This window comes from Homo sapiens, chromosome 3 (assembly GCF_000001405.40).
Source record: "Homo sapiens chromosome 3, GRCh38.p14 Primary Assembly".
NCBI lineage: Eukaryota > Metazoa > Chordata > Mammalia > Primates > Hominidae > Homo > Homo sapiens.
This window is the reverse complement of record NC_000003.12, coordinates 149,858,802-149,876,190: the sequence shown is the minus strand read 5'-3', so window position 1 is coordinate 149,876,190 and position 17,389 is coordinate 149,858,802. Positions and strand designations below refer to the sequence as shown.

General features: G+C 35.7%; 1 protein-coding gene across 16 annotated transcripts in view; it reads right to left on the bottom strand.

Moving 5' to 3' along the window:
* Positions 1 to 17,389, bottom strand: part of RNF13 (ring finger protein 13) — a 149,452-nt gene that overhangs the window by 85,949 nt on the left and 46,114 nt on the right. For all 16 annotated transcript variants that reach the window (NR_165474.1, XM_047447380.1, XM_011512373.3 and 13 more), the window contains one exon: positions 4,037 to 4,162. Coding sequence is in view for 9 of the 16 variants with exons in the window: in XM_047447380.1 (XP_047303336.1) it covers positions 4,037 to 4,162 (126 nt within the window). In the remaining 7 variants the exon portion in view is untranslated. The remainder of the gene's footprint in view (positions 1 to 4,036; positions 4,163 to 17,389) is intronic.

Sequence of the window (17,389 nt, the reverse complement as noted above, 5' to 3'; positions counted from 1 at the left end):
AAAATACAGTAAATTGGCTACTCAAAGAAATTGGTGACTTACCATTATACCCAAGTAATGAAAGCATCTGGTACTGAAATGACAATGGACAGATTTTTTTATAACTTGTCTTTATTCAGTTATATACACAGAAAATTGTATAGCTCTGAAAGTTCAATGTTAAGTGATTATTTTAATGGCCTTTCAATTACTAGGTATTTTTACAGATTTTTTTTAAAGTCGTATTTCTCACTGGGATGCCAATTCAAGCCTTTTGAGAAATATCTCCCTCAAAATGCTTCAAAGTCAATTTTTGTCACAGTAAAGAACAGCATCATACAAAGACAAAATAGCACTGTTTCGCTTTTCCTCTAAAGAGCTGTATTTTTCAGAGGATACAGTTTTTGTAAAACAGTGTAAGTGATTACTTTTAGAATAAGTACCTGACATGTAATCAATAGTTCTTCTTACTGGCTTTTTGGATATTCTACATATTCAAACATTCATTCTGAGCATGGGTTTTGCTGCATCTCCTCAAGGTAAGACAGATTAAAAGGTTCATATGTGCTTCTCTCAACAGAAGATAAAAAATTAAACAATGGCTCTCTTTATTTGGAAAGCAATTCCCTTTCCTCCAGGAATTGTTAATTGCATTTCTGCTGCCTTCGTGGCTATCTTTGAGTCACAAATCACTTGGGATGGTTTGTATGAAGAAAATATGCCATTTTAAAAATTATAACATACATTCCACTTATTCATTTCCTTTTAAAGAAGTAAGAAAAGTGTAGGTTTCTTTAATCTGTTTAAAACAAAACTAAAAGAGTTGTAAAAATCCTGAAATACTCACCAACATTAATCATCTGGAATAACTCGATAAATTTTTATTCCTTGTTTCTTTTCTCTTTGTGGTCTACAACAAAGAGTTCCTTTCTCCAAGGAAAATTTTAAAAGATAGAGCCAATTCTCCTTTGTCTGAGATAATTTGTATGTCACTTTGGATAAGAGGCATGCCAAAATATAACCCTGCACTACCATCAATTGTAGTATTATGTATGGAGTTGAATTAAGTTTTCCTCAGTACTCAGTCCTAGTAAGCTATGTAATAAATAAGGAAATATATCATTTTTCTAACTATCTTAAGTCAATGCATCATACAAAATTGTGGATATACATGAATGAACCACTACTGATTATCTATAAGAGATATATATTAACACTGATGACTGAATTCCACAACACACTTAATATAAAACTGTATATAACCATTTTGGAAGCTCATTAAATGCAGTCAGAGATTTCTGATATGAAAATTACAGCTAATAAGGCTAACAGCTTATCCATCAGTAACCACTCTAGAAAGGAAATCTTCTTTAGGGTGCGATTCCAGTTGTTTTCCCAGTACCCATAATGACTTTATCCTTACCCAGTCACACTACCTTGATAGGTGATCCATAATTCTTACTATTACAAATTTATGAAACATACTTTCCACAATGGCATGACTAAACTGTCTTTATAAGCCAAGTCAGAAATTTTACATCAGCTGACACTGAGTTGCTATATCACATGTGACTTACCAGACAATTTAATTTCTGAAAAGTCAGGAATTTTGCCATCTTTACCCTTATTCTATTTAATTCTAATGGTAAAAAGCATAAAACATCAACAGCTAAGACCCACTTGCCTCCTTCCTGTGTGCAAGGTGCTGTTTGGTAGGCATTTAACATTGATTAGTTCATTTGATCCTCCCAACAATCCTATCATATAGGGAACATTATAATTCTTATTTTACAGATAAGGAAATTGAGGCACACAGAGGTAAAATAACTTGTCCAAGATCATACTGCTAGTAAATAATAAAGATGAGATTGAAATGTATACAGTCTGTTTCCAGACCTTGATTATAATCATTGTGTCTCCCCTATAAACTGATGTTCCAGAAATTTATACAACTCTGACAAAGACAGAAATCATTAGGAATGACATAAGTAAGGAATCTTTAGCCTTAAATGGCCAGAATACACTCCACTGTGTATTTATGGAGGAAAAAATAACCAAGTTAAAGAACATGTACAACAGACTAGACCCTTATTCATAAAAACTGTGCCTACATGGTAAAGTACAATGAGAATTTTTTTAACATTTCCCTGTCTAACATTAGAATGGCTCAACTGAAAACTTCTTCCATGTTTTTCATATGTACATGTTTTTCAAGAATATATTAGACACATAAGCAAAAGACTATTACACAGCTTCATTTAATAAGTCTTTATTGATTACCACACACTATAATACAAATTGGATACATAAATATGACTAAAACATGAATTCTAAACACCATCAATTCACAAATAAGTGAGATATATATATTCAATAAAAAGTAACAACAATGTGATAAAAAGCAATGAAGGAAGTATTTACAAAGTGGAAGGGTGGCACATTGAGCTGGAATGGTCTGCACTGCAACAGAGGAAGTAGAAAGAAAAGTAAGGCTCCCTGAGGAGGTAACATCCTCAGCTAGCATGTAACCGATGAGACAGATAAATGGGTGGTAAAGATCACTGGAGACAGAGATCTTGGACAGAGAAAATAGTACATGTAAAGGCACAAATGTATGATCAGCATGGCACAGCCAGTTGAGAGAGTTCAGGTAGGCAGTATGGCTGCAACATAAAATTCAAGGCAAGCAGTGAAAAGAGATGAGCTGGAGTAATGACTAAATCATTAAACTCCTTTAGAAGTACTCAGACTCATGATGAGGATCCACTAAAGGGACAAGAAGGCTAACAAGCCTACTGTATTCATTCCTGAGCTGTGGTTTCATCTTCAAAAACAGATATTCAATAACAGTATTTCCCTAATTTTCAAAGTGTACCATCTGCCATCCCTGCCTATAAAGGAAAGTTATAACAACAGCAAAAAAGTATTCTAGTTTCTAATTATCAGACTGTACCGAGTCCAGAAATTACATAGCATAATAGTGTAGTAAACCTTGGGATCAATAGAATTAGTTTACTTTTAATTTCTTAGCAGCAAGAAATTAATGAAACATTACAATAACATTTAATTTTAACTGAAGCAACCTGTAATTATTATAGTTTAGTTCTGGATAAAACAGTTAAATTTAAACTATCATAAACAACTCTGAGGAGCAGGAAGTCTACTACTTTGACTTCAAGCTCTAATTTATTCCCATTTAAAGGCAATTGAGAGTCTATATTTGGAACTAACATAAAGTAGTAACAATAACTATCATTTATACAGTACTATACATTTTCAAATCCCTTTATATTATTTTATTCCTCTCATAAGTTTACTATGGAGGTATCATTTCTTCCATGCAATCAAAATTGCAGAGAAAATTCATGCACAGCATGACAGGGCGGTTTTTCTTGCTGAACGGACAAATTATCTAAGACCAAGTGACATGAAATAATAGCCCATGTCCTATTCTGGGAGATACATGCAAGACACTATATGACACTCAGCTCTGAGGTAGTCCAGTAACAGTTACATCAAGGTTTATTTTACATAGGCCTCAATGTGGCTCCTTTGCCAATGCCAATCCCAAAACAGACTTTAAAAAACCATACACCTAGAGCAGCACTGGTGATATATGGTGACGGAGGTGGGTAAACCTTGTTTTACTATCTGAAATGCTAGCTTAACCCATGTCAGAGAGAAAAAACTTTACACAGGGGCAGATTTAACTTATTACAAAAGAGAAACCTCAATGACAATGTAGACACAGGTATAGATGTAGGTTTGAGATTGATACTGGAAGGGTAAAAGCATAAAACTAAAGGCTGAAGTTAAGTTTTCATTCCTAGATGAGATCAAGTAACATTCCACTGTTAAACCACAGTTCAAGATGTCCAACAAATGCCTGAAAATTCTTAGAACCAGTAAACATTATTTCTATTCTATGAATCCAGTTTATTTTCAATCTTACTGGATTTTAAATTTTAAATGTTTTCTGAAACAAGGGAGGATGTAAATGATTTAAATTAGCTAACTGAACAAATAGGAAACAAAAAATGAAAAAAGATAATCATACCTTTATATCAAAATTACAATCAAGTCTTCTAATTAACACGATGAAAGTGCCAGATGAATTGTCTTTTACTGGTGGAGGCACTATGGGTTCACAGGCATTCTCTGGTTTTGAGTTAATCAAAAAACCCTGAAAAAGAATTGGTAAAAATTATCTCTCTGTTTCACTCAGTAAATCAATCAACTTACTTCTACAAATATCTTTTCGATTTGTCATGTGTTTTGCATTATGCTAGATGTATCATTGGGCATGTAAAATTGCTCACAATCACGGAACTTCTAAAGCAGCATTTGCTTTCACAAGCATTTAGTTTTCTAAAATAAGTTCTATCTTTTGTATTGAAGTTAAAAAAATAATAATAATAAGCAAACTCAGGCATAAGCCAATCACCCCAAAGACAACCACTGGTATATTTTCGAACAATATTTGACATTTTCAAACCAAGCAAATATGTCTTAAAAATTAACTTTCTTTCATGTTAGCAGACAATGAAATGCACATAATAAATAAATTTCTAGAAATTTATTCTGCAGAAATGCTAGCCTGAGTATGTAAGGTGTATGTGGAAAGACAGTCATTGGTACATTATTTTTAATAGCAAAAACTGGAAATCATGCATATCCACAAGGTAACTATTTAAACAATTATAGTATATTTATACAATAGGAAAATAATGCAGCCATTTAAAAAAATAAGGAAGACCTGTATACACTAAACTGAAAAGACGTCCACGAGATAACCATGAATTTAAAAAGTAAACAGCAAGTTGCTTTCCCAGGAATGCAGGATGGTTTGACATAAGAAAATGTAGTAACAGGCTGGTCACAGTGACTCACATTTGCAATCCCAGCACTTTGGGAGGCCGAGGCAGATGGATCACCTGAAGTCAGGAGTTCAAGACCAGCCTGGCCAACATGGCAAAACCCCATCTCTACTAAAAATACAAAAATTAGCCGAGCATGGTGGCACACACCTGTAGTCCCAGCTACTTGGGAGGCTGAGGCAGGAGAATGGCTTGAACCCAGGAGGTGGAAGTTGCAGTGAGTCAAGATTCTGCCACTGCACTCCAGCCTGGGCGATAGAGCGAAACTCCGTCTCGGAAAAAAAAAAAAAAAAAAAAAATCTGGTAACAGACTAAAACAGAAAAATCAAATGTCTATCTTTTGTAAAAAGTGAATAAACACATAAAAAGATGATCAAATTCACTGATTTCATTTATAAAGGAAGGAGGCAATTAAAGCTATGAGACAATGCCTTAACAACAGTTCTGTATGGTCCTGAACTGGTCACACCAATCATCTATTCCACAGGATTTGGCAATTTCTCCTCCCTGAAATTATATTGCTCAGCTTGTGATATGGAAAGTGTTTGTACATATCTTGGGTATAAAATGTATCACTCTTTCATTTGCTCATATAATAGCTCCTCTTCTTAATCCCATAAAGCACTCGGTTTTTGTTTTGCAACGAAGTACAACTGTGGTCATCCTTCCAATGATGAATATTTGCTTTATTCTTGTTAAATTTGCATCCTGCTCTGAGTGCCTTTCTGCAAACACTAAGTTTTTGCTCCAATGCTAAATCATATAGTGTAGGAAATATTTTTCAACATGATTATTACAGCAATTAAACTCAAGCCATATAGGTTGGCTTCCAGCTCCAAAATGATGATGCAGAAGCAAGCTGGTTTGACTCCCCCCATAGAAAAAGAAAAACAAATGTACAGCAATGAGATTACGGCCAGAAATAAGCTAGAACTCAAATATAAGGAGAGATCATTCCCAGGGCCACAGAGAAGTAAAAAAAACTCCCAGCAGACAGAGAATCAGACTTCCACATCTACTATGCCCCTCCCCCCATTTTGCCGAGCACCAACTGCAAGGAAAATTTCCCTCCAACTCACTGTTTCTACACTGGAAAAGTAAGACCAAAGTGGAACCAGATTGCCCACTATCTTGGGTTCCCTAGGAGGAGATTTGTCCCTTCCTTAACCCACAGAAAGCATCACAAGTACCTGAAGGGAGAAATATCCATGAGGTAGATAGAGACTAAGAGGGGAAGCAGGACTACAATCCCTAGCCCTGGAAAGGAGAGCCCTCCTTTGTAATTCTACCAAAGGAGATGCCAAATCACAGTAGCTATTCAGTAGCACCATACAGTAGGTTTGTCCCACAGGTCCACTGGGCATGAACCTCCACAGTCAGCCTTCCCACAGTGCCAAGATATCCCTGTTGGGAACTGCCCCTTTGGGAAGGGCAGCATTTTGATAATTTACTAGAGCCAAGGTGAACCTAAGCTTAAGGCATCACCTATAGCCAAAAAGGAGGCAGTAACCTAGCAGTAAATAACCTCTAACCAAATACATCCAATAGAAACCAAAACAAGCCAGACAGAGAAGAACAGAATAAATAACTAATCTTTCAATGCAAAGACACTGACATACATCCACAAGAAACAAGAGCAAGCAGGGAACCATGATCCCCAAATGGACGAAGCAAGAAACCAACAAGCAACCCTAACAAGATGGCAATATGTGAACTTTTTTTTTTTTCTGAGGCGGAGTCTCGCTCTGTCGCCCAGGCTGGAGTGCAGTGGCGGGATCTCGGCTCACTGCAAGCTCCGCCTCCCGGGTTCATGCCATTCTCCTGCCTCAGCCTCCCAAGTAGCTGGGACTACAGGCGCCCGCCACTACGCCCGGCTAATTTTTTGTATTTTTTAGTAGAGACGGGGTTTCACCGTTTTAGCCGGGATGGTCTCGATCTCCTGACCTTGTGATCCGCCCGCCTCAGCCTCCCAAAGTGCTGGGATTACAGGCGTGAGCCACCGCGCCCGGCCTAATATGTGAACTTTTTAACCAAGAATTCAAAATAGTAGTTTTAAGGAAACTCAGTGATCTCCAAGATAACACAGAAAAGAAATTCAGAAATTTATCAGAAAATTTTAACCAGAAAATTGAAATAATTTTGTTTAAATCAAACAAATTTTGGAACTGAGAAATACATCTGCTGACCTGAAAAATTCATTAAAGGCTCTCAACATCAGAATGGATCAAGGAGAAGAAAGAATCAGCCAAGTCAAAGACAGCCTATTTTTTAAGTACACAGAAGAGAAAAAAGAAAAGAGTGAAAAGCAATAAAGATCTCCTACAAGATAAAGAAAATTACCTCAAAAGACTAACTCTAAGAATTATTGTGTTCAAGAGGGAGCTGAGCAAAAGTAAGGTATAGAAAGCTTATTCAAAAAAATAATAAAAAACTTTCCAAAACTTGAGAAAGATGTAAATAACCAGCTACAGGAAGGTCAGAGAACAAACAGATTTGACCCAAATAAGACTACCCCAAGACATACACTAATCAAACTCTCAAAGGTCAAGGACAAAGAGAGGATCCTAAATGCAGCAAGAAAAAAGAAGAAAATGATATACAAAGGAGTTCCAATTCATCTGGCAACAGACTTTTCATTGAAAAACAATACAAGCCAGGAGGGAGTGGAATAACAAGAGAAAGAGAGAGAGAGAAAGAAAGGAAAGAACAGAAAGGGAAAGGAGAGGGAAGGAGAAGGGTTGGGAGGAAAGGGGAGGGGAGGAGAGGAGTGGAGAGGATCGGAATAAAGAGGAGCAGAAAGGAAAAAGGGAAGGGAGGGAGGCAGGGAGGAAGAAAGGAAACCTATCATCCAAGAATACCAAATCCAGTAAAGTTATCCTTCAAATAATAAGAAACAAAGTTTTTCCCAGATAAACAAAAGTTGAGAGAGTTTACCACCACCAGGCCTGTCTTACAAGAAATGCTAAGAAAAATTATTTAATCTGAAAGAATAAAGACTAATGTGCTAAAATTAAAAAAAAATAGTTGAAGGTCTAAAACGCACTGGTACAATTAAGTACATAGACAAACCCAGAATACTCACACCATAATTGTGGTGTGCAATCCACCCATAACTCTAGCTATGTCCAGAAGACAAATCTATTTAAAACAATTGTTTAAAAAAAGAAAAACAAAAAAAATTATAGCTACAGCAACATAGTAAGAGATAGGTAATATAAAAATATGTGAACTGAGACAACTAAAAGCCAAAATATGAGGGACACAGTTAAAGTGTAGAAGATTTTTTTTCATTTTCCTTTGTTTCTATTCTTTTCTATGTCACTTAAAATGTCACCCTTTAAATTACTTGTTATAAGATGGCTTTGTAAGCCTCATAGTAATGACAATGCAAAAACCTGTAACAGATTCACTAAAAATAAAAAGCAACGAATTAAAAAGTACTATCAGAGAAAATAACCACAAAGGAAGACAGTAAGAAAGGAAGAGAAAAATTACAATACAAAAAACAATCAACAAAATGGCAGTAAAAGTCCTAACTCATCAATAACACTAAATGTAAATGGAATCCATTCTCCAATTAAAAGGCACAGAATGGCTGGATGGATAAAGAAACAAGACCCAATACAATGCTGCTTACAAAAAAACCACTTCACCTATAAAGATACACATAGTCCAAAAGTGAAGAGTGAAAAATGAAATTCCAGTAGTAGCTATACTTACATCAGATAAAACAGACTACAAATCATCAAACAGTGTAAAAAGAGACAAGAGGCCGGGTGCGGTCGCTCATGCCTATAATCCCAGCACTTTGGGAGGCCGAGGCAGGTGGATCACAAGGTCAAGAGATCAACACCATCCTGGCTAACACGTGAAACCCCATCTCTACTAAAAATACAAAAAAATTAGCCGGGCGTGGTGGTGGGCGCCTGTAGTCCCAGCTACTAGGGAGGCTGAGGCAGGAGAATGGTGTGAACCCGGGAGGCGGAGCTTGCAGTGAGCCGAGATAGGGCCACTGCACTCCAGCCTGGGTGACAGAGCAAGACTCTGTCTCAAAAAAAGAAAAAAAAAAGAGACAAGGAAGGTCACTATATATGATAAAGGGGTCAATTCTGCAAGACGATATAACAATTATAACTATTTATGCACCCAATATGGGGCAGCCAAGCATATGCAGCAAACATAAACAGATCCAAAGGGAGAGAGAGACTACAATACAATAATAGTAGGGAACTTTAGCATACCACTTTCAGAAATGTACAGATCATCCAGACAGAAAATCAACAAAGAATCAATAACCGAAAAGTCCTGACATTTACAGAACATCTCACCCAACAGTTATAGAAAAGACATTATTTTTATCAGCACATGGAACATTTTCAGAATATACCATATCTTAGGCCACAAAACAAGTCTGAAAAATTCAAAAAGTAGCAATCATACCACTATCTTTTCTGGCCACAATAGACTACAATAACAAGAAGAACCTTGGAAACTTCACAAATACATGGCAAGTAAACAAAATGTTCCTGAATAACCAATGGGTGAATAAAGAAATTAAGAAAAGAAATTTAAAATTTCCTGAAACAAATGAAAATGAAACTACTACATACTAAAATATATGGGATACAGCAAAAGCAGTATTAAGAGGGAAGTTTATAGTAATAAACATGTCAGAGGTGTCTGAACCAGATCAACTCCATCTTGAATAGGAGCTGGGTAAAATGAGACTGAGACCTACTAGGCTGCACTCCCAGATGGTTAAAGCATTCTAAGTCACAGAATGAGATAAGAGGTCAGCACTAGACACAGGTCATAAAGACCTTGCTGATAAAATAGGTTACAATAAAGAAGTCAGCTAAAATCCACCAAAACCAAGATGGTGACGTGAGTGACCTCTGGTCTTCCTCACTGCTACACTCCCACCAGCGCCATGACACTTTACAAATGCCACGGCAACTTCAGGAAGTTACCCATATGGTCTAAAAAGGGGAGGCATAAATAATCTACCCCTTGTTTAGCATATCATCAAGAAATAATCATAAAAATGGGCAACCAGCAGCCCTCCAGGCTGTTCTGTCTATGGAGTAGTCATTCTTTTATTCCTTTACTTTCTTAATAAACTTGCTTTCACTTTGCACTGCAGACTTGTCCTGAATTCTTTCTTGTGTGAGATCCAACGACCCTCTCTTGGGGTCTGGATCAGGATCCCTTTCCTATAACACTACCAGTGCCATGACAGTTTATAGATGTCATGACATCAGGAAATTACCCTATATGGTCTAAAAAGGGAAGGCAGAAATAATCCCACCCCTTGTTTAGCATATCATCAAGAAATAATCATAAAAATGGCCAACCAGGAGCCCTCTGGGCTGCTCTGTCTACGGGGTAGCCATTTTTTTATTCCCTTATTTTCCTAATAAACTTGCTTTCACTTTACTCTATAGACTCACCCTGAATTCTTTCTTGCACGAGATCCAAGAACTCTCTCTTGGGGTCTAGATCGGGACCCCTTTCCTGTAACAAACGCTTATATCAAAAAAGCATAAAGATTTCAAATAAACCACCTAACAATGAACCTCAAGGAACTAGAAAAACAACACCAAATGCAACCCAAAATTAGTAGACAGAGAGAAAGCTCATCTATTCCAATTTTTTTGTTTACAGAAAAATACAAAATTACAAAAATACAAAAAATACAAAAATTAGCTGGCTGTGGTGGTGCATGCCTGTAGTCCCAACTACTTGGGAGGCTAAAGTAGGAGGATTGCTTGAGGCCAGGAGTGGAAGGCTGCAGTGAGCCATGATCACACCACTGCACTTCATCTTGGGAAACAGAGTGAGACTCTCTCTCTCAAAAAAACGAAACAGGAGGGTATAGGGCTGGTCAATGAACAAGACAGCTTTTGAGGTTATATCTTAAATATTCCTGCTTTTACTATTAATGGTGATGATTATTACAACAAATATAATGTCTGTTTTATACATATATATATATATATATATATCACCAAAACATCTAGAAAGAAGTTTCATGAATGTGTTGAAAGGGTTAGCCCCTTTGCACAGGCTCCAGTCTACTGTAACCATTGATAAGTACCACTTCTGCAGACAGCCAGAAAAGACACTTTTATGGAGATGCTTGTTTTTATTTTTTTTTATTTCTTAGATCACACTGGTTAAGGAGAAATATACTCCAAATGCCTAATTTTTCTTCTCTTGGTTTTGGAATTTTGGTTGTCCCATCTAAATACAATATATCTTATTAAACATCCACTATACCTTTCTTTATATCATCAGAATAACCTGATTGCAAATAAAATTTCATTTACATATAAATTAATAAATATCTTCTCCCAAAGTTTACTACTTCAAATTAATCTGCAGACATAAATAGTTTGCTAGTGACCTCGACATTAAAAGAAAAAAGGAGGGAGGGATGGCAACAAATCATAGTGTCCAGAATAAAGCTAGGAAATATGATCAATAATTTCTTTTTTATTTGAGCTGATATGGAGAGATTTAAGCAAAGGGAAATCATAAAAGATCCAGTTGACATTCTTTTTGTCTTTATCAAATTTAGTTCTCAATAACAATAGCATAATTGGCAAACATTTAATGACTATAACCTTCAGTTTTGTTTTACTTAACACAGTACTGATTTGTCAGGATTTTGATTTTATGATATTCCAGCTCTGTGAAGAAAAGGTCATCTGGTGTGTGCCTCTCATTTGGTACACACAGATAATGTGTGTTCACTCAATGGATATGATACCTTGACATTTTAGAAAACAAAATGAATGTGCGCTCTGGAGGACAATGCCTTTTAATTGATACGTTACTGTCTTGGTGCGTTTATACTGCTATAAAGGAATACCTGAGGCTGGGTAATTTGTAAAGAGGTTTATTTGGCTCATAGTTCTGCAGGCTATACAAGAAAGCACACATACACACACACACAAAAGGCATGGCACCAGCATCTGTTTCTGATGGCCTGCTTCCACTCATGCATAGTGGAAGGTGAAGGGGAGCCTGTGTGAGAAGAGATCACATGATGAAAGAGGAGAAGAGAGGGGCCAGACTCTTGAACAACTAGCTCGTACAGGAACTAAGAGTGAGAATTCATTCATTACAGCAGAAGTCACCAAGCCATTCATGAGGGATCCACTTCCCTGACCCAAACATCCTCCCATTGTGCCTTACCTCCAACACTAGGGATCAGATTTCAACATAAGGATCAAATATCCAAACTATGGTAGTTACATTCATACTAATACTACAACCACATCATCATTCTAAAAAAAAAAAAAAAAAAAAAAAAAAAAAAAATTCCAATCAAACATTGCCATTCCAGCTACATGCAACAAAATAATTTCTCTAAAAACAAGAATTCTAAGTGGATTGTGCTTACACTAGCAATCCATGTCCTCTACAATTGCCATATAATCAGTACAACCCAGTAAAGAATATTTATGCATAATTCATATTCTATAGTATTTGACAAATCCTGTAAAAACATAAAGAGGTTAAATGTAATAACTACAGAATTCTTAACAAAATCTTTGACAGCAAGAGTTCAGAAACAAATACAAAAAGTAAATCCATGAAAACTTAACAGGCATCAGAAAAATTCTCCTTTAGTATTATGAACAAATGTAGCCCGGGTGTGGTGGCTCACACCTGTAATCCCAGTACTTTGGGAGGCCAAGGCAGGCAGATCACCTGAGGTCAGGAGTTCAAGACCAGCCTAGCCAATATGGTGAAACCCTGTCTCTACTAAAAATACAAAAATTAGCCAGGCGTGGTGGTACACGCCTGTAATCCCAGCTACACAGGAAGCTGAGGCATGACAATTGCTTGAACCCAGGAGGCATAGCTTGCAGTGAGCTGAGATTGCACCATTGCACTCCAGCCTGCATGACAGAGCGAGTCTCCATCTTAAAAAATAAAAAAAAGAATCAAGACTAAGAGGAATTCTTTGGTAATGAAACATAAAACATACTGTTTTCCAAAACATAACAAACACAACCACAACAAAAAAGACCCTCACTCATTCATTACTTACCACAGCACTTGCCATTTGCAATTTGTCATTATAACTCAGTTTATAGTTGAACACAACCTGGTTAATTAAAGTTGATACAATTTGCTTATCAATCTGATTAAAGGGATCATAATGATGGAAATGGTCAGATCCTAACTAGAGGAATTATTTCAGTATTCAGAATTCAAAGAGAATGGCAACTGGCAAGAAGGGATAGTGCAGGCAAACAAAAGTAGGGAGAACAATTACAATACCTTAATAAGGGTACTGTCATTGCCATTAGTTATTCTGTTAATTTCAAAGGTGACGATTACTCATTCATTTATTTCATGAAACAGGGAATATATCAAATGTAAAATATAATGAATTATTTTATTACTTATCACTTACAGAAGAAGGGAGATATTACTAAACTCATCAAAGTGGCTGGACATTCTTTTATACCAGCAGTATATAAAAGTACCTGGTTTCACATCCTTGCCAGTTGTGGATATTGTTAGACTCCTACTTTTACTAATTTGATGAGTGTGAATTGGCATCTAGTTATAATATATACAAGGAGACATATTTAAAAGATGTTCACTAAAAAAGAAAGTAAAAAACTGGCATCTACCAGCAAATGAATGAAAAAATAAATTGTGGCATATTCATAAAATGCAGTATGCAACAGTTAAAATGAATTAGGAATATGTAATAACAAAAATTTCAAATATAGTGTTAGATGGAAAAGCAAGTTTTAAAACCACAGCAAAGAAAATTTAAATGGAAGCACAATGTTTATAGATGCATATATGGTAGAAAAAATATATATATGTATGTTTTATAACATAAATAGGAAAGATACACATAAGTTTCAGGATAATGATCATCTATAAGGAGCGAGGTAAGGGAACAGAATATGGTAGGATAAAAAGGATGTTTCAGTAGTATCTGTAATATTTTATTTCTTCTTTCAAAAAAATAGTAAAATATTAACCTCTAGGTAGCAGATATACAGGATGCTCTGTTATTCTCATACTCTAGTCTATGCTTGAAATATTTCCATTTTTAAAAAGTGAAAGCAATCTAAATGTCCAATGACACAAGGGATTGGTTACATTATGGTGTAATTTAAGTACTATAATAAATTGTATAATTTTGAATGATGATATGAATGTATAGATTTTTATATGGGAAGATATCCATGATATTGGATATGCCATCCAACATATTGCCAATTTTTTTAAGTTGCAAAATAACACATATAAGTGCATAAAATGAAGGCATGAATGTGTCTACATAAGTTCACACAGTTGTACCCAAACATCTACCATTATAATCTTTAATTGTAGAATTATGTATGATTTTCATATTCTTTTAAAACTTTATTGGCATTTAATATTTTGTATATTTATGGGGTGCGTGTGATAATTTGTTACATGCATAAAATGTGTAATGATCAAGTCAGGATACTTGAGGAACCTATTACCTTGAGTATTTATCATTTCTATGTGTTGAGAACATTTCAAGTTCTGTCTTCCAGCAACTTCAAAATATACTTAATACATTATTGCTAACTATAGTCACCCTACTCTGTTATCAAACATTAGAACTTATACCTTCTATCTAACTGCATGTTTGTACCCACTGACCAACCTTTCTTCATCTCCCCCTCTCAACCACATCTTTTTCTCACCCTCTGGTATCTATCAATCTACTCTCAACCTCCATAAGATCAACTTTTTTAGCTCCTACAAATGAGTGAGAACATGGGATATTTGTTCTTTCTCTGCCTGTATAATTCCACTTGACATAATAATCTCTAATTCCATTCATGTTGTGACAAATGACATGGTTTCATTCTTTTTTACAGCCAAATAGTATTACATTCCATATATATACTTTTTTTAATCCATTCATCTATTCATGGACAGTAGGTTGATTCCACATCTTGGCTATTGTGAATAGTGACATAATAAACATGCAAGTGCAGGTATCCCTTTGATACACTTCTTTTCCTTTGGATAAATACCCAGTGGTGGGACTGCTGGGTCCTATGGTAGTGCTATATTTAGTTCTCCCCCACCCCCTTTTAAGTTTTTTTTTTTAAATCTCCATACCGTTTTCCACAGTAGTTGTACTAATTTACATTCCCACCAACAGTGTATGAGTTCCCTCTTCTCTGAATCCTTGCCAAAATCTGTCTTTTTTTTTGTCATTTTAATGATAGTCAGCCTAACTGGATTAAGATGCTATCTCGCTGTGGTTTTGATTTACATTTCCCTGATGATTAGTGATGTTAAACATTTTTTTCATATGCCCGTTGGCCATTTGTATGTCTTCTTTTGAAAAATATCTGTTTAGATCATTTGCCCTTTTTTAAATCAGACTGTCTTTTTGCTGCTGAGATGTTCAAATTCCTTATATATTCTGGATATTAGTCCCCTGTCACATGGAGAGTTTGCAAATATCTTCTCCCATTCAACAGGTTGTCTCTTCACTCTGTTGACTCCTTTGCTGTGCAAAAGCTTTTTAGTTCAATATAGCATCATTTGTCTATTTTTCTTTTTGTTGTCTGTGCTTTTGTGATTTTAGCTGTAAAATCTTTGCCTAGTTCAATGCCCTGAAGTGTTTTCCATATGTTTTCTTCCAATAGTTTTATAGTTTGGGGGCTTTAATTCTTTAATCCATCTTGAGTTGATTTTTGTATATGGTCAGAGATGAGGGTTCAGTTTCATTCTTCTGCATATGGATATCCAATTTTCCCAGCATTCTTTATTGAAGAGACTGCCCTTTCCCCAGTGTATGTTCTTGGCACCTTTGTCAATAATCATTTGGCCATAAATATGTGAATTTACTTCTGGATCCTCTACTCTGTAGCATTGGTCTATGTGCCTGTTTTTATATCAGTACCATACTGTTTTGGTTCTTACAGCCTTGTTATATGTATGTGTGTGCATAATATGTATATATGTGTGTATACATTATGTATAAATACATTATATATACACGTTATATATATATATATATATATATATATATATTTTTTTTTTTTTTTAGATGGAGTCTCTCTCTGTTGCCCAGGCTGGGGTGCAGTGGCATGATCTCAGCTCACTGCAACCTGCATCTCCGTTCAATGATTCTCCTCAGCCTCCTGAGTAGCTGGGACTACAGGTGCCCACCACCATGCCCGGCTAATTTTGTATTTTTAGTAGAGATGGGGTTTCACCATGTTGGTCAGGCTGGTCTTGAACTCCTGACCTCAAATGCTCCACCTGCCTCGGGCTCCCCAAGTGCTGGGATTACAGGTGTGAGCCACCACACCTGGTTGCCTTGTAATATATTTTGATGTCAGGTAGTGTGATGTCTCCAGCTTTGTTCTTTTTGTTCAGGATTTCTTTGGTTATTTGAGGTCTTTTCTGGTTCCATATAAATTTTAAGATAGTTTTTTCTATTTCTGTGAAAAATGACATTGACATTTTGAAAGAAATTTCATTGAATCTGTAGACTGCTTTAGGCAGTATGGTCATTTTAATTATACCAGTTCTACTCCATGAGCCATATTCTTTTTCATATCTATATCATCTTAATTTTAATGGTGAGCATGTATCACTCTTCTAATGAGAAAAATATTTTTTCATGAGCAGAAGAATAAAAAATTAGCTATATTGAACTGAGAAAGCCACTAAGAAAATCTAGTAAAAACTACTAAGTGAACAAAAAAGATGCCCAGTAATGCAATGAGAAAATGAAGGGAGTGTGTTGATTTATGAAATCAAAAACCTGAGCCTCCTTTGACTTCCTCTGTGTGTGTGTGTCTTTATCTCCCCTCTTCTCTAAGTGATAATTTGCCATGATGAAACAATTATTTTCTAAATCAAATGAAATGCTATATTCCTGCTTCATTTAATAAATGAATAAGCAACCATTACTTTTTGAAATTAAGAGGAAAGGGTTTATTTTAGAAGCTCAAAATTCACTTCAAAAGTATTCTTTTTATACCATCTAACTATGTGCATGTGAAAATGTCCTTAGATCTTAGAATTCTTATTTCATGTATAACCAGATGGTTTGACTCTTTATTTTGACAATGCTATTTCTTTATTTATCCTTTGAAAAAGGAACTCTGACCTTTGTTTTCGTTTATAAACTGAGGGTGATACTGTAACATAAGGGTGAGGAAGTCCAGCACATTGAGCCTTAACCAGGGCTTTCTTCACATCACAAAACTGTGTAAGTGTTCTGAGAGGAAAAATACACTAAGTGGCACTGAGCTTCTTTCCTGCAAAGAAAGCAGGCAAAGGACGTAACACAAATAAAACATCCAAACAACCACATTTCTTTGCAATGTTTGCATTTTCCTTCACCAGGGAAAAAAACTCTCTTCTAATCTCAAGACTTTATATTAAACAAAATCATTTCCTGTAATAAGAATTTTGAAATTAACTGGTAAATTAACTTTCAAAGAACAAGCCTAGTTTGTGGAAAATTAACTGGTGATGATATAAGGCAC